The following is a 17961-nucleotide window of genomic DNA, read 5'->3' as shown; positions in this document are numbered from 1 at the left end:
GTGTAAAATTGTGTTGCAAATATTCAAGTCAAATTTAAGCAACCTTTCAACAATAAGCAAAGAGGGATGTGATTTGTTGGTGTTTAATCATTTTCCTTTTGATCTAATTTCCTTAGAGAAATATTTTGTACTTGTGCTCTCAGGCCAGATTTTCCTGTCACACTGCCTGAACTAGATCAGCGGCTTCTCTGCCCTTTAATCCTTGCCCTGTTTACCATCAGTAACAATTGTAAACTAGTGCCTCATCATTATAAAGGCAGTAACTATCTTTCCCATTGATGGGAAGTGGTGATTATTTACTTAGGCTTGTGTTAGTCACAGATGCTTCAAATAGCTTGATCTTTTTCTTTAAGCATTTATACGTGATCAGCAAATAGGAAACATGGATGAAACCGCTTATTCCTTAAAATTTGCTAATAGAATTTATCCGAAATGTTTTTTTTTTTTTTGAGACTGAGTCTCGCTCTATTGCCCAGGCTGAAGTGCAGTGGTGTGATCCCAGCTCACTACAACCTCTGCTTTCCAGGTTCAAGCAATTCTCGTGCCTCAGCCTCCCCAGTTGCTAGGATTACAGGCACAAGACAACACGCCCGGATAATTTGTATATTTTTAGTAATGACAGGGTTTCACTATGTTGGCTAGGCTGGTCTTGAACTCCTGACCTTAAGTGATCCACCTGCCTCAGCCTCCCAGAGTGCTAGGATTACAGGCGTTAGCCACCTTGGCCGGCCCAGAATGTGTTTTTAATTAGTCTTGTGTTTAAGAACAGAAACATGGCTGGGCGCAGTGGCTCATGCCTGTAATCCCAGCACTTTGGGAGGCTGAGGTGGGTGTTTCATGAGGTCAGAAGATCGAGACCATCCTGGCCAACATGGTGAAACCCCATCTCTACTAAAAGTACAAAAATGAGCTGGGTGTGGTGGCATGCACCTGTAGTCCCAGCTACTCCAGAGGCTGAGGCAGGAGAATTGCTTGGACCCAGGAGGCGGAGGTTGCAGTGAGCCCAGATCGTGCCACTGCACTCCAGTCTGGGTGACAGAATGAGACTCCGTCTCAAAAAAAAAAAAAAAAAAGAAGAACAGAAACACAAGAATTGATTGAATTGATAATGAAGTGGTTTTGTTTGTTTTTGAGACAGAGTTCTGTTGCCTAGGCTGGAGTATAGTGACGTGGTCTTGGCTCACTGCAACCTCCGCCTCCCAGGTAACCATCAAGGGATTCTCCTGCCTCAGCCTCTCAGGTAGCTGGGATTACAGGCACCCGCCACCACACCTGGCTAATTTTTGTATTTTTAGTAAAGACAGGGTTTCGCCATGTTGGCCAGGGTGGTCTCAAACTCCTGACCTCAGGTGATCCACCCGCCTCGGCCTCCCAAAGTGCTGGGATTACAGGCCTGAGCCACCCCGCTCAGCCTAAAGTTGTTTTTTTAATATGGAATTGTCTACTTTTTTCATTTAGATTAGTTTGTAAAGACGTAGGTGTGCTTGCTAGTGCAGTGTTCCCTATAATCTGTGGATAGATATTTATATTTAAAATTTTCCCAAAGGAAAAAAAATTCCATGAATTTTTTTTTTTCTCTGCAGTTCTCTCTTTCTAGTTGGGTTACACAAAAATGTATTACTTAGACATACTAGCTTTGTATTTGCCACCTGTACCTATAAGAGATTCTCTACCAAATTGCTTTCTGAGGTCCCCGGTTACCATTAGTAGGGTTAGGCTGAGTTAAGCATGTATGTCCAAACCCAGCTACTTGGGAGGTGGGAGGATCCCTTGAGAACAGAAATTTGAGGCTAGCCTGGACAACATAGCAAGACAGCAGCTCTTAAAAAAAAAGTCGCTGGGTGCGGTGGCTCATGCCTGTAATCCCAGCACTTTGGGAGGCTGAGGCAGGCGGATCACCTGAGGTCAGGAATTTGAGACCAGCCTGACCAACATGGTCAAACCCCATCTCTACTAAAAAATACAAAATTAGCCGGGCGTGGTGACACATGCCTGTAATCCCAGCTACTTCGGAGGCTGAGGCAAGAGAATTGCTTGAACCCTGGAGGCGAGGCGAAGGTTGCAGTAAGCCGAGATTGCACCATTGCACACTAGTCTGGGCAACAAGAGCGAAACTCTGTCTCAAAAAAAAAAAAAAGTAAATATATCCATATATCTACATCCTATAACCATGTGTTGTTTTATGTTTATTTGTTTTGTTTATAATAAGAGGGCACGATGGGCACCATCTCGGCTCACTGCAACCTCTGCCTCCCAGGTTCAAGCAGTTCTCCTGCCTCAGCCTGCTGAGTAGCTGGGTTTACAGGTAGTTACCATGCCCGGCTAGTTTTTGTATTTTTAGTAGAGACAGGGTTTCACCATGTTGGCCAGGCTGGTCTTGAACTCCTAAGCTCAAGTGATCCACCCGTCTTGGCCTTCCAAAGTGCTGGGTTTACAGGTGTGAGCCACTGTGCCCCGCCAACATCCTATAACCATGTTTTGAAAAGAAAGAGTAGGCTGGCCTCAGTGGGTCACGCCTGTAATCCCAAGCACTTTCGGAGGCCAAGGTGGGAGGGTTACTCGAGTCCAGGAGTTTGAGACCCGCCTGGGCAACATCATGAGACCCTGTCTCTACAGAAGATTTTTAAAAGTAGGCAGGCATCGGCCGGGCGCAGTGGCTCATGCCTGTAATCCCAGCACTTTGGGAGGCCGAGGCGGGCAGATCACGAGGTCAGGAGATCGAGAGGCGCCTGTAGTCCCAGCTACTCGGGAGGCTAAGGCAGGAGAATGGCGTGAACCTGGGAGGTGGAGCTTGCAGTGAGGCGAGATTGTACCACTGCACTCCAGCCTGGGCGACAGAGCAAGACTCCATCTCAAAAAAAAAAAAAAAAAGTAGGCAGGCGTGGTGGCGTGTGCCTGTAGTCCTGGATACTCAGGGAGGCTGAGGTGGGAGGATTGCTTGAGCTTAGGAGGTCAAGACTGCAGTGAGTAGTGATCACGCCACTGCACTTCAGCCTGGGCAACAGAGCGATACCCTGTCTCAAAAAAAAAAAAGAGAAAAGAAAAATAAATCACCTTTAACATAGGATATACTGTAGCTGATCCATTGGAATTGAGAAATCCTTATAAATGTATTCATCCACTGTGTATCCGCAAAGTTTTTTTTTTAATTATACTTTAAGTTCTAGGGTACACATGTACAACGTGCAGGTTTGTTACATAGGTATACATGTGCCATGTTGGTGTGCTGCACCCGTTAACTCATCATTTACATTAGGTATATCTCCTAATGCTATCCCTCCCCCCTCCCCCCACCCCATGACAGGCCCCGGTGTGTGATGTTCCCCACCCTGTGTCCAAGTGTTCTCATTGTTCAGTTCCCATCTATGAGTGAGAACATGCGGTGTTTGGTTTTCTGTCCTTGCGATAGTTTGCTCAGAATGATGGTTTCTAGCTTCATCCATGTCCCTACAAAGGACATGAACTCATCACTGTGTATCCACAAATTTTTTTTTTTTTTTTTTTTTTTTTTTGAGACAGAGTCTCACTTTGTCGCCCAGGCTGGAGTGCAGTGGTGCAATCTCATCTCACTGCAAGCTCCACCTCCCGGGTTCATACCATTCTCCTGCCTCAGCCTCCCGAGCAGCTGGGACTACAGGCGCCCACCACCACACCCAGCTAATTTTTCTATTTTTAGTAGAGACAGGGTTTTACCGTGTTAGCCAGGTCTCGATCTCCTGACCTCGTGATCTGTCCCCCTCGGCCTCCCAAAGTGCTGGGATTACAGGCCTGAGCCACCATGCCTGGCCAAAAATTTTTAAAAGAAAAAAGAGACTCTTTTTATCCTCACTTTAAACTACCTTTGTATTGCTTTCAAAGTCTGCATGATTATCTTTAAATCCAATCAGTATGACTGAGAAAGCAGTATTTTGTTAGTTTCTTAGTGGTTTTTTGATCAGAGAAATAGGAACTAGTGGAGTAAAGATAAAATAAGAAAGATATGAAATAATTATATATATATTTTTTTCTGAGATGGAGTCTTGCTCTATCTCCCAGGCTGGAGTGCAATGGCGCAATCTCAGCTCACTGCAACCTCCACCTCCTGGGTTCAAGCGATTCTCCTGCCTCAGCCTCCCGAGTAGCTGGGATTACAGGTGTCTGCCACCACGCCCAGCTAATTTTTGTATTTTTTTTTTTTTTTTTAGTAGAGACGGGGTTTCATCATGTTGGCCAGGCTGGTTTCTAACTCCTGACCTCAGGTGATCCACCTGCCTCAGTCTCCCAAAGTGCTGGGATTACAGGCATGAGCCAACACGCCCGAAAAATGCTCATGGGTTTAAGAGAATGTAAAGAATATACATTTTTTACATTTTTAGGAATTAAAATAGATTTATCTCTTTCAACTTTTGTATATGTTTGACATTTTTTATAATATTGGAAAAATATATGAATCTTGTATTTTACTTTTTTAGTTTGTTCATTCAAGTATTTCAATAAAATAGATGATTACTCCATATTCTCAAAGAGGTTTTAAATCTTTTTTAGTGGGCCGGGTGCGGTGGCTCACGCCTGTAAATCCCAGCACTTTGGGAGGCGGAGACGGGCAGATAACAAGGTGAAGAGATCAAGACCATCCTGCCCAATATAGTGAAATCCTGTCTCTTCTAAAAATACAAAAATTAGCTGGGCATGGTGGTGCACCCCTGTAATCCCAGCTACTCAGGAGACTGAGGCAGGAGAATTGCTTGAACCCAGGAGGCAGAGGTTGCAGTGAGCCGAGATCACACCACTGCACTCCAGCCTGGCAACAGAGCGAGACTCCGTCTCCCAAAGAAAAAAAAAAATCTTTTTTAGTGAATGGAAAGTTGGAAAAATTTCACGCAATCTTTTCTTTTAAAGAAGTATATCACAAAATGAAAGGACCTAATAGAAATGAGCAAAAGGTAGTTGACTGATCTATCTTTGTAGTATACTTGCTATATAAATGAGGCTGTTTGTGTGGCAAGTAGATTGAACAGCAAGTCTACTTTTTGTCAGGTGCGTAGCTTTCATTTACAGTGGAGTCTTTAAGGTTAAACACTATTGGAATTATTTTTTATTTCCCTCTACTTATGTCTGTTTTCTTTTACAGCATCCACCCGTTTTGTCAAGTGTGAAAAGTGTCATCATTTTTTTGTTGTGCTATCTGAAGCAGACTCAAAGAAAAGCATAATTAAAGAACCTGAATCAGCAGCAGAAGCTGTAAAATTGGCATTCCAACAGAAACCACCACCTCCCCCTAAGAAGGTATAAGTCTTAAGCTCAGTCTTACAAGTATTTTATCTTGAAAACATTCCATTGCTTCCCTCTCCCAAGTTTACACTGAATCCTAATACTAGTATATAAACAAGTATTATAGGTTCATAATATGGACCATATGTGGCTAAATTGTTATTGCCTTTTGGAATTTAAATATGGGGTCTGTTGCTTTTTCCCATGTTATGATTACTGTATTCAGTGGCAGTGAAATATAGCTAGATAATTATTAAAATGTTAACTTGTTAATACCAAGTTAATCTGAAATAATATCTACAATAGAGCAAGCAACTTCTGATTTATTTTTGTTCATATGGACCCTTAAATAACACCAGCCTAGGCTGGTCCACTTGACTAGCCTTAAAAAAAAAAGCCTGCAATTATCTCCCTTAAATTGGTCTATTTTATGGTAAAACAGCCTTCAGTCTAATAATGTAAGTAAGTAGTTTTTTCATAGCCAGTGTGCCGGGCTGCTCCGTATAGCACTGTGGCTTTGGTAGTGTGGACTCTTTAGAAGTCTCAGGCAGAGTATGATTTGGTCCTGTGAGATGTAACAGAATGTACCACCAGCTCCATTGGGTATTTGGTGTGTGCTTTTTGAGAACTGGGAACCCTTGTACCCTGGCTATGTGCCTTCTGTTCTGGCTGTGTCTCAGATGTTTGCACACTTAGATTATTTCTCACTGCCTCAGTGTATCTTTCTTCTACTGTGTTTAGATATCAGTGCATTTGTCTCTACTTCCAAATGTGCTGTGACAGATTTAATGTCATTGGTATAATTTGTAAGGAATAAAGATGTTTAAAACTATAATAAAATGTATATGGTCAACAACTAAAGAATTTGTCATTAAAAATGGAAAATATATTGGGCTTTATATTCTATACGAATTTGTGTAGACTTTAGACATGTGAGTTAAAATTCCAGGCAGTTTGGCCGGGTGCGGTGGTTTGGTTCACTCCTGTAATCCCAGCACTTTGGGAGGCCGAGGCGGGCGGATCATGAGGTCAGGAGATCGAGACCATCCTGGCTAACATGGTGAAACCCCGTCTCTACTAAAAAAATACAAAAAATTAGCCCGGCGTGGTGGCGGGTGCCTTTAGTCCTGGCTACTCGGGAGGCTGAGGCAGGAGAATGGCGTGAACCCGGGAGGCGGAGCTTGCAGTGAGCCAAGATCACGCCACTGCACTCCAGCCTGGGTGAAAGAGCGAGACTCCGTCTCAAAAAAAAAAAAAAAAAAAAAAAAAATCCAGGCAGTTTAACTAATTTCAGGAGTTTTTGAATTATTTATTTTTTAATCAGGGTTTCACTCTGTTGCCCAGGCTGGAGTGCAGTGGCACACTCATGGTTCACTGCAGCCTTAACCTCCCTGGGCTCAAGTGATCCTCCCACTTCAGCCTCCACAGTAGCTGGGACTGCAGGTGTCTACCACTATGCCCAGCTAATTTCTGTAGAGACAGGGTTTTGCCATGTTGTCCAGGCTGGTCTGCACCTCCTGGGCTCAAGTGATCCATCCGCCTCAGCCTCCCAAAGTGCAGGGATTACAGCCGTGAGCCACCAAGCCCGGCAGGAGTTGGTTAATATTAATTCACCAACCATTTCATTTCTATTCACTAAAAACTTAAAAAATTTACCCCAGGTTCCAAGCTGTTGGCAATAACCAACTGTAGAATAGAGCTTTAGCTACTATTAAGAATAAAGTTTTTAGGGCTGAGCTTGGTGGCTCATGCCTGTAATCCCAGCACTTTGGGAAGCCAAGGCAGGAAGATTGCTTGAGCCCCAGGAGTTCAAGACCAGCCTTGGCGACACAGTGAGACCCTGTATCAAAAAAAGAAAAAAATATATTTTTAGAAAATAAAAAAAAATAAGAATACAGTTTTTAGAGTCTCAGATAAATGAGTAGCTTTAAAGTTAATGTCTGAGAAAAAATTAAATTTACTAAAACACATAGATACTGATAGTATAATGGCTTTTGATTATGTAATGCCTGTTTCTGAAAAGAGTAGTTTTATAATGTTATCTTTGTGAAGAATGTTATTCATTTGATTGACAGGTATGGATTTATTTTAATGATTTACATTAATGTTGATACTTTTAGACCATGGTGGCATGTGTATGTATTCTAAGTTACTTTAAATTTAATTTGTTATCAAAAAATAAAGATTGATAGCATTGTTTATAGAATAGAAATTAGCACAACACTAGTAGAGTACAGTGATACTTTGTTAAGCTAGAGAACAAATGAATTGTGTTTTTGTTCATTTAGTGTTCAGGGCCTCTGAATCATTGCTATATAATGTATTGTCATTTTGTTTTTAATGAGAGTCTTTGTTCAGATTTAAAACTGTAAGCAAATATGCTTAGTAAATAACTTTTTAATGTGTGTGCTCTTATAATAGCTCATATTAAATTATTCATACCTAATCATTTTTCAGATTTATAACTACCTCGACAAGTATGTTGTTGGCCAGTCATTTGCTAAGAAGGTGCTTTCAGTTGCTGTGTACAATCATTATAAGAGAATATATAATAATATCCCAGCTAATCTGAGACAGCAAGCAGAGGTTGAGAAGCAGACATCATTAACACCAAGAGGTAGCGTTTTTGATAATTGACCTAAATAGAGATTGCTATGCTTAAAAGTAATCTTTATTTGTAACTCCTCACTTTCTTCTTAAAATGTTTTTTATATAGTGTGGCATTTTTCAAAGTGCAGGTTATTCCCCATTAGTGTGTTATGAAATCATTTGCCAACAGCATTTTTTAAAAATTTGATAGATATGAATAGAAAATAACAGAATACATTAACTTACAGTTAAGGTAAATATTATTTCTTAGGCCTGGCATGGTGGCTTATGCCGGTAATCCCAGCACGTTTGGAGGCCGAGGCGGGGGGATCACTTGAGGTCAGGAGTTCGAGACCTGCCTGGCCAGCATGGGAAACTCCGTCTCTACTAAAAATACAAAAATTAGCCAGGTGGGGTGGCACATGGCTGTAGTCATTATACAGTATACTGTATAATCTCAATTTACTATGGACAATAATGTATATTAATAGAATGATTTATTAAAAACAATTATGCATAGAGTAAATATGAATATTTAATTTTTTGTTTTGTTGGCCAGACAGCCCCAATTTCTGATTTAGGCCTATATTCCATCATTTTAGATTCTTTTAGTTATCACTGTACAGTGTGAAGGAGTTCTGCTAAGTACTTAAATTTATAAGTCTACATTATCTTTGATTGCCTTTAGTAGCAACTAAATGTATAATTTATTTCAATGAAGACACTTGTTCACTTGCTGAACTTACATCACATAACTGCAAAATAGGTATGTGATGGTATCAGTTATTTTTAGAAAGTATAAGTCATAACTAACGGATGACTTGGAACCTTTTTCTTTTTTTCAAGACAAGGTCTCTCTCTGTCACCCAGGCTGGATTGCGACTCACTGCAGCCTCAACTTCCCAGGCTCCAGTGATCCTCCCACCTCAGTCTCCCAAGCAATCCATCTGCCTCAGCCTCCCAAAGTGCTGGGATTAATAGGCGTGAACTCTTGCGCCTGGCCTGAAATCTTCATTTTTATAAGGTCCAAATAGCACTGATAGTTATGGAGCAAAACTTTTTTGTTTTCCTCGGTAATAAATAGATATTTAAGCTATTCTAAGTGCTGGAGGAGCAAATGGTTATAATATTTATAGCATGAGGGGCTTAAACTCTTATTAAAGACTTATGTTATTATACCCTTACAATAGATATCAATTATATATTTGACAAATGTGAATATTAGCAACTGGACAGCGGTCTTTATGCATGGTTTTGTTTTAATATAGAAAAGATATAGCATATATGAAAAGCTGAAAAATGTTAATGAACAAATCCTTTAAATATATTTGAAAGAGGACAGGAGGTGGGATACTCATTGTTTGTTCCCCCAAGGTAAACAAATATGTAATATTTTCATCCTCTTTCTTAGAGTTAGAAATAAGAAGACGGGAGGATGAGTACAGATTTACAAGTAAGTGACTTCAGGTCCTCCTCTGTAATCATTCTTCCTTTTGACATTTATTTCAGTGAAGTGTTTCAGCAGTAACAGTGATAGACATGTATGTATTTGCTTGTGTATTACCAAGAAAGATACGTATTATCTAAATGTGTTTATCCTACATGGTATATATAACTTTGGAATAGTTTTTCATAGCTAATTTGTGTCGTTTCCATATGTTGGGTTATTTTTTATTTTTTCTATCAAACTACAATTAGAGTTGGCCTGCTTCTTGTGGGTCACAGGAATTTGGGGGAGGCAGATTATTTTCTAGCTACTCTTTGCCAGAAAGCACACTGTTTTTTGGTTTTTTTTGTATTTATGAAACTTACAGTCTTACAAATTATGAGTAAGTCTTAATTCACTGTTTCCAGCCCCAGATTGCCCCTACAAGCATCAGATGGTCCGATGGAGGGTGTGGAAGGACTTGATAGACCAAGGAGAGTGGCCTTTCTGTTGTGTTCCACCTATTCCTTTGGAGGTGGATATAGTTAGTTGCTGCATTGAGGGTGGAGGTTCCAGGGGTGTCATAGAAAGATTCACATGGCCTTTTGTTTTAGTAATTGAAATAAAGAAAATTAGCTAAGTTTGATGTTTTTACATTTGCCTTTGAACCAAGTAGTATTATATATCCACTATTTGAAGTGTACTATATATAGGATGAGCCATGAGAATATAACTTGTGTACCAACTTGGGCATGACATTTATCACATGTAATAAAATTACATTATCCCCAGTTATTTTTAAATTTATAGAAATACTGATTATACCATGCGTGGTAAAATTAAGAAATACAGTAAGTGCAATAGAATTAGATTGTATATAAGAATGTAAAATCTAAATAATAACCTTTAGGTATATATGTAATTTATTTCATAATAAAAAAATATATTCAGATATGCAGTCAATACCATACTCATAAATTGTGTTGACAGCTAGTTAACCTATACTAAATTAGTAAAGAAAGTCTGTAGTGCATATTTTGAAAGACATGTCATGTAATATATGTAGTGATTTAATGTTATTTAAATGTTAACAAGTAACAGTATTTAAGAACTTATGTAAAAGATTGACTTAGAAACAAATATTTCAAAAGCTTAAATTTATTGTCATGTGCAGTTTTGTTGTGTTTTACATGGGATTTTAAGTTCTAAAGTTAGGTTGTTAACTAACACTGGCTGGGGGTGTTAGACCCTAACACTGGTCTAGGGTTTTAGACCAAAATCATGTACAATAAGATTAATTCTTATAAGTCCCTTTGGAAGTCAAATTTTAGAGACCAACATACAGCTTTTAGGAGGACTGACACAATTGGCTTTTTTTCTCCATCTTTGGAATATAATGTTGTTTTTTAAGTTGAGCACCAGATGAAATACTTTGTTTGCGTTTAAGGGCTGTGTTGTGTGAATAATTAAACACTAGGGAAATGGTAATAATAATACCAGATTCTTCTGTAACACTTATAAAACTATCTGCCAGGTATTGTTCTAAGTGTTTTGCATATATTCATTTAATCTCCCCTAAACCCATGAGACAGAAACTATTATTTTTATCTCCATTTTAGAAGTAAGAAAACTGAAACACAGAAATTTTAAGTAATTTGTCCGTGGCCACACAGCTGGTGAGCTCTGTGCAGCTAACTACTACACTAGCCTGCTTGCTCATGGTCCTCATTTTAGAGAGCTGTGCTTACACAGTGAGAGATGCACAAACAGGGACTAACTGAAAGAATCGGAGAGTTGTCTCAAGTTTGTTCTAAGGCATATACTCATAAAATGGGATGATGGATATCATCTGTATCATTTAAATTATTTCTTTTTTAAACTTAAATCATTAAATAAGTTAAATACATAGATTATGTGGTTCCACTGTAATTAATATGCCCCTTGCAATTTTGTTCATTTATTCATCTAAATCGTGTGTGTGTGTGTGTGTGTGTGTGTGTGTGTGTGAGAGAGAGAGAGAGAGAGAGAGAGAGAGAGAATGAGTGAATGACAAGCACCTGCTGGCCTTGCTGATCTGAAGCTACATCTAAATCATTTTTTCCCTTTGGGCAGAGCTAAACTTAACCCAAGCCCCTTCCTATGTTATCACAATCCCTAACCAGATTTTGCTGAAATTTTAAAAAGTACTTTGCTAGTGACAATTTAACTATCCTCATACAGCAGACTGAGTTTTCTTGGCTGATGTGGATTATAATGAGGCACAACATTGTGAATTATTCACTAATTATTAACCCTCAAAGGTAGCACAATTTAATCCAGATGTTTATGGAATGCTTATTGTTTTTGATGAATAGAATAACCCTTTACCTTAAGTATGAAGATAGTTTGAAAGTGACAGCCAGATGGAATAGGACTATGATAATAGATATGTCTGCCAAACTATTATTCTATCAGTTTAATTAAAATAATCATTGGAAAGTCTGATTTTCTGAATCAATTTCTTAGAAAATAAAATTTAGGCCAGGCGCGGTGTCTCATGCCTGTAATCCCAGTACTTGGGGAGGCTGAGGCGGGTGGATCACCTGAAGTCAGCAGTTCAAGACCAGCCTGGGCAACATGGCAAAACCCCGTCTCTACTAATAATACAAAAATTAGCCAGGTGTGGTGGCGTGTGCCTGTAATCCCAACTACTCGGGATGCTGAGGCAGGAGAATCACTTGAACCCAGGAGGCGGAGGTTGCAGTGAGCTGAGATTGCACCACTGCACTCCAGCCTGGACAACAGAGAGAGACTCTGTCTCAAAATAAAAAAAAAAAAAAGAAAAGAAAATGTAAAAATAAATTCAGGAAATATAAACAAGTATGTTGTGATAACAGGTACTCAAATGCTAAGAACCAAGAACAATCTGAATATTTACAAATCTGGATAATCTTTCCTTCAGCCAAGAGAAAGTGAGAATAAAGATTTATTTATTTCATTTTTATTTTGTTTTGTTTTATTTTATTTTAATTTTATTTTTTTGAGACAGAGTCTTACTCTGTTGCCCAGGCTGGAGTGCAGTGGCGTGATCTTGGCTCACTGCAACCCCCGCCTCCCGGGTTCAAGCAATTCTCCTGCCTCGGCCTCCCAAGTAGCTGGGACTATAGGCGCGTGCCATCACATCTGGCTAATTTTTTATTTTTAGTAGAGATGGGGTTTCACCGTGTTGGCCAGGCTGTTCTCAAACTCCTGACCTCAGGTGAGCCACCATGCCTAGCCTAAAGATTTATTTTTGTAGGAATCTGGCTGATAAACTGATAACCTCACTAGCAATGTCAGTCCCATCTAGTCATTAGCAATGTCAGTCACATCTAGTTAAGTGTTATGTCTCTAATAAAGGAAATAGAAAGATCCAGTACAGGTCCAATAAAATTAGAGATTTAGATAGGGCCAGAGATAGTAAGGTGTATCATATTTGGTTTCTCTAGTAGATTTTATTGATTAGGAAACAGGAACATAAAGTTTATATGACTTGCCCTAGATCATGTAGCTTCTACTTAGAGACAAAGGAAGGTCCAGAGCTAAAGCTTTCTAACTCCTGGCTCTGCTCTTCTGTTGTATTGCCTTCCCTTGGGTAAAGGAGTATTCTTACATATTTATATAAATAAGGACAGTAAAAAAAATCAATTTCCTTTGCTTGAGGTTCTTTATATAATCATTGTGTGCTATATGTTTGTCACTAGATAATTTGAGATTTTTCTCCTTTGTAGGTAAGACAGAATGTCAAAATACTTAAATTTTTCTATGTCGATATTTAGTTTTAGATAAAAGTTTTTATGGGACATTTTCTTCAAGTAAATTCAAATGAAGCTCAAGTAATTCCTTTGGCATTTTTTTCAGAATTGCTTCAGATTGCTGGAATTAGCCCACATGGTAATGCTTTAGGAGCATCAATGCAGCAACAGGTAAATCAACAAATACCTCAGGAAAAACGAGGAGGTGAAGTATTGGATTCTTCTCATGATGACATAAAACTTGAAAAAAGTAATATTTTGCTGCTTGGACCAACTGGGTCAGGTAAATAACTTGCTGAGAAAATTTACTACTCATTTTAAAAATCAGAATATAAATGATTCTATAACCTGTATCTTGCGATTGAAGTATTACGGCTCTTGAGAAGAAAATCTAAGGCCAGTCATCTAGATACACTATCAGTATTCCTGCATAGAATACAAACTGGATTTGAGGCATTGGTGTTGCCCTTCAGGCCAATCCCTAACATCTTCACAGGAATAATAAAATAAAAAACAGCTATATCTAAATAATAATAGATCGGATGTAGTGGCTCACACCTGTAATCCCAGCATTTTGGGAGACAAAGGTGGGAGGATCACTTGAGGCCAAGAGTTTGAGACCAGCCTAGGCAACAGAGCAAGACTCTATCTCTATAAAAAATAAAGTATTAGTTGGGCGTGGTAGCACATGCCTGTAGTCCTGAGGCTGAGGCAGGAGGATCACTTAAGCCCAGGAGATTGAGGCTGGAGTGAGCCATGATCACAGGCTGCACTCCAGCCTGGGTGACAGAGCAAGAACCTGTCTCTAAAAAAAATAATAGCAGAGGAAGGATGTAGCAATTGACAACTTTTTATTATATACTACTAAAATTTATTTTGCATTTTTATTGAAAAATTGTGTGCCAATATATTTTCAGTAAACTTTTAGTGACTGTTTCTATTTGTAGGTAAAACTCTGCTGGCACAAACCCTAGCTAAATGCCTTGATGTCCCTTTTGCTATCTGTGACTGTACAACTTTGACTCAGGCTGGATATGTAGGCGAAGATATTGAATCTGTGATTGCAAAACTACTCCAAGATGCCAATTATAATGTGGAAAAAGCACAACAAGGTATGTTTTCAGCATGGTCTGTCCCCAGATTTAGAATATTGGGGAATCAGTCTAATATTAAGAGACAATATAATTCTTGTTTTGAGTCAAGGACTAAAATTCTGTAATTATATAAAAGTACCTTTGTTACATAATTTCTAGCATACTGATTAAGGGCCACATAGTTTGCTTTGCCTTATTGTCACTAAGCTGGCTGGTAGGATTCAAAACAAGCCAAATTACTGTCCTATTAGATCCTTAATACTATCATTGCTTTTCTTGTTTTAACTCCCCTCAAGACTTCTAATGCTTAGATTAAGACAGGACAGGGCAGGGGCAAGGGAGGAGGGTACCAGATGACTCTAGAAACAGTTTAGCCTGTTGACCTACAGGATGTCATGGATGCTGCGTTGCTCCTTCATTTATCATCTGTTCTTGTTCACGTGAAGAGCATGACAGCTTCCTGTTCAAATTTCTTTAAGACAAGAATGTAGGCGGGAAAGAGTAAGCTAAAGTTTTGTTAATACTAGCACTGCAGATACCTCCTGCTTCCATACTATAAAGAATTCATATACATTAGTGGGGCAAATCACTGTTGTCAAGGAGATTTTGTTACCATACGTAAATGTTACTCCGTAGAGCAGATTACAAAGCAGTTGTACAAAATGATGGATGGAAGAAATAAAAGTGCATTTTTATAATGTCAAGCTATTGGATATGTTAAGTATGAAAGATCAAATAACTTTGTTCTCTAGCTACCTAAGTATTTTAAAGCTGAGGCTATCTTGTGTATATCTTTTTCGTATTATAAATAGAATCCTCCTTAAATTATAGGAATTGTCTTTCTGGATGAAGTAGATAAGATTGGCAGTGTGCCAGGCATTCATCAATTACGGGATGTAGGTGGAGAAGGCGTTCAGCAAGTAAGCAGTTGAGTATTTTGTTCAAGCCCACTAAAAGGAAGGGAATACATCAACCTCCCAAATATTGTACGTTTGGTTTCACATTCAATTAGATTCTGTTTTATTTCTTCCGCCCCCAAACTCCACATATCATTTTGAAGTAGTTTAGATCCTAAAAGAAAGTTGTTGACAATTTGAAATAACAAATTACCTTGTTAGGAAATTTAAAATATTTTGAAGAACAGAAAAAATGAAATTTAATCTTTTTTTTTTATTCCTCAAAGGCCCAGTTAAACATTTCTAGAAGACTTTTGAAGAAAGTTATGATTCTAACTAGACATGAATGAACTATGTACATGCTTCTTATTCCTTCCACTTATTTAGAAGATAGGTATAAAATAATGTTTAATTCCTTGCAGAGCCATAATTGAAGTCACAATGATCTATTGGCCAACTTGACCTTTTAATGATAACTAATTATGACATAAACTATTAAAGGGTGAGGAAAATTGTTTCACTTTTTGACAGAGACATAGGTATAATCACACTTACGTGCTGGAAATTTTTTTTTATAAAAGCATCTCCAAATATAGGTAGTCTCAAAGTTTAATACTGTAAGTGGAATAGAATTTTAATTTATGTGAAAGACATATCTTCAACTATTTTCTAATTTTGAATGTTCCCACCGTGCTTGAACACCATTTTATACAGTCATAATTCTGTGTTTATGTCAGAATTATGTCTTTACTATCAAAAACAACCTCTCAGGTTGACTGTTTTCCTGAATTACAATGCATCAAGTTCTGTAACCATTTCAAATAAATGTATTAATTATTAATGTGATAAATGCATTAGATTTTCTTGTTAGTTATAGGAATGTGGGAGTTTCATTAGGTATGTGCATTGACTATAATCACATATTGTTTTCCCCATTTAATCCTATTGTCTAAAGTATAATAAATAATGTGCTTATATGGTGATGCTATAAATCATTTGTTCTTTATTTAGGGCTTATTAAAACTACTAGAAGGCACAATAGTCAATGTTCCAGAAAAGAATTCCCGAAAGCTCCGTGGAGAAACAGTTCAAGTTGATACAACAAACATCCTGTTTGTGGCATCTGGTGCTTTCAATGGTTTAGACAGAATCATCAGCAGGAGGAAAAATGAAAAGGTAAGTTTTTCTGAGGGGTTACTAGAAGGATAGAGAGCATTTAAAGGATGTACACTCAGTTTCCATTCTCATATCTGCGGGCTACCAGTCATAGTTTTAATTATAAGAGTTGGGTTTTCTTAGAGCATATCAGAAATATACAGGGAAGGGTGCGGTGACTCAATGCCTATAATCCCAGTTCTTTGGGAGGCCAAGGTGGGCAGATTGCCTGAGCTCAGGAGTTCAAGACCAGCCTGGCCAACATGAAACCCTGTCTCTACTAAAAATACAAAAAATTAGCCAGGAGTAGTGGTGGGTGCCTGTAATCCCAGCTACTCGGGAGGCTGAGGCAGGAGAATCCCTTGAACCCAGGAGGCGGAGGTTGCAGTGAGCCAAGAACTCTAAGGCAGACAGACCTGAGTTCAAATTCTGGCTTTGCCACTTACAGCAATAAGATTTTGGTCAAGATATTAAACTCTCTAAGCCTGTTTTTTTCCTTTGTAAAATGTAAATGATAATAAAACCTTCTTCATAGAGTTGTTACAAAGATCATATGAAATATGTAGGAAAAGTACTTAATACACTATCATTTGATTCTACTAATTATAAATATGCATCATTTCTTTGGCAGTATCTTGGATTTGGAACACCATCTAATCTGGGAAAAGGCAGAAGGGCTGCAGCTGCTGCAGACCTTGCTAATCGAAGTGGGGAATCGAATACTCACCAAGACATTGAAGAAAAAGATCGGTTATTGCGTCATGTGGAAGCCAGAGATCTGATTGAGTTTGGCATGATTCCTGAGTTTGTGGGACGGTTGCCTGTGGTGGTTCCATTGCATAGCCTAGATGAGAAAACACTTGTACAAATATTAACTGAGCCACGAAATGCTGTTATTCCTCAGTACCAGGCCTTATTCAGCATGGATAAGGTTAGATTTTTATTTTTTGTACTTAGTTATTTTTTATTTTCTTGCTATTGAAATTCTACATAAATTAACCTAACAACAAAAACAAATTCTGCTCATCTAGAATACCAGCCTATTCCTTACTAAATATGGATCTAGGAATCAAGGAAGGCATATTGTATTATGTTAGAATTTAGGAGTTGTCTTTATTTTTTCTGAATTAAAACCATCATTATAGCCTAAAGCCCAAGAAAAATAATGCCATTAGCTTACCTCAACACCTCCAAGCCAGACATACAGGATTGTCCTTTCAGTCTTGGTATTCTAAATGCTTTTGTTGTGACATACTGTGTATATTTTTATATTATTTTGCCAAAATAGAGTTTTATTAATCCCACATATACTTCTCTGTAGCCAAACACCTAGCCCACATACCCAATTGGATAACAAATGGTTTGGGTTTTGTGAACTTTGTGTCTCTAAATATCAGTCTCTTCTTCTCCGTTGCCACTGCCTCAAGTCAAGCCCCTTTGATATTATTCACCTTGACCCATGCATTTAGTTCTTAATTGGTCTGCCTGTCTCATGTCTGTCTGTGACTATCACCAAAATATCATTATCTTCCTCTTTACTTCTGGAATGGATCATTGAGAACAGTGCCCAACAAATAGATATTAAGTTCTTAAATATTTATTGAATGATTAAAGATAAGGCTAATGTTTTTACTCCCTTGCTTAAAATCCTCCGGTGGTTCCCTAGTCTTATTTAGATGTCTCCCCCTTTGCTGCTCCCTTAGCTCCATGTACATACACTGGACTATAAATGCTAGTTTGCTAATCTGTCATCTGTCATCACACAATAGACTGTAAGT

The 17961-nt window shown here is 38.5% G+C and overlaps 1 protein-coding gene across 4 annotated transcripts in view; it reads left to right on the top strand.

Moving 5' to 3' along the window:
* The window catches only part of CLPX (caseinolytic mitochondrial matrix peptidase chaperone subunit X), a 37124-nt gene that overhangs the window by 13447 nt on the left and 5716 nt on the right, over window positions 1-17961 (top strand). Inside the window, exons 4-11 of one of the 4 annotated variants that reach the window (NR_133680.2) lie at window positions 5111-5265; window positions 7708-7867; window positions 9251-9292; window positions 13145-13209; window positions 13986-14150; window positions 14964-15118; window positions 16040-16204; window positions 16815-17114. Coding sequence is in view for 2 of the 4 variants with exons in the window: in NM_006660.5 (NP_006651.2) it covers window positions 5111-5265; window positions 7708-7867; window positions 9251-9292; window positions 13145-13321; window positions 13986-14150; window positions 14964-15052; window positions 16040-16204; window positions 16815-17114 (1253 nt within the window). In the remaining 2 variants the exon portion in view is untranslated. Of the gene's footprint in view, window positions 1-5110; window positions 5266-7707; window positions 7868-9250; window positions 9293-13144; window positions 13322-13985; window positions 14151-14963; window positions 15119-16039; window positions 16205-16814; window positions 17115-17961 lie in introns of those variants that run through there. The other 3 variants (NM_006660.5, XR_931743.4, XM_011521164.4) reach the window with 3 other exon arrangements.

This window comes from Homo sapiens, chromosome 15 (genome assembly GCF_000001405.40).
Source record: "Homo sapiens chromosome 15, GRCh38.p14 Primary Assembly".
NCBI lineage: Eukaryota > Metazoa > Chordata > Mammalia > Primates > Hominidae > Homo > Homo sapiens.
Note: the sequence above shows the minus strand (reverse complement) of the source record. Positions and strands in the feature narration are given on the sequence as shown.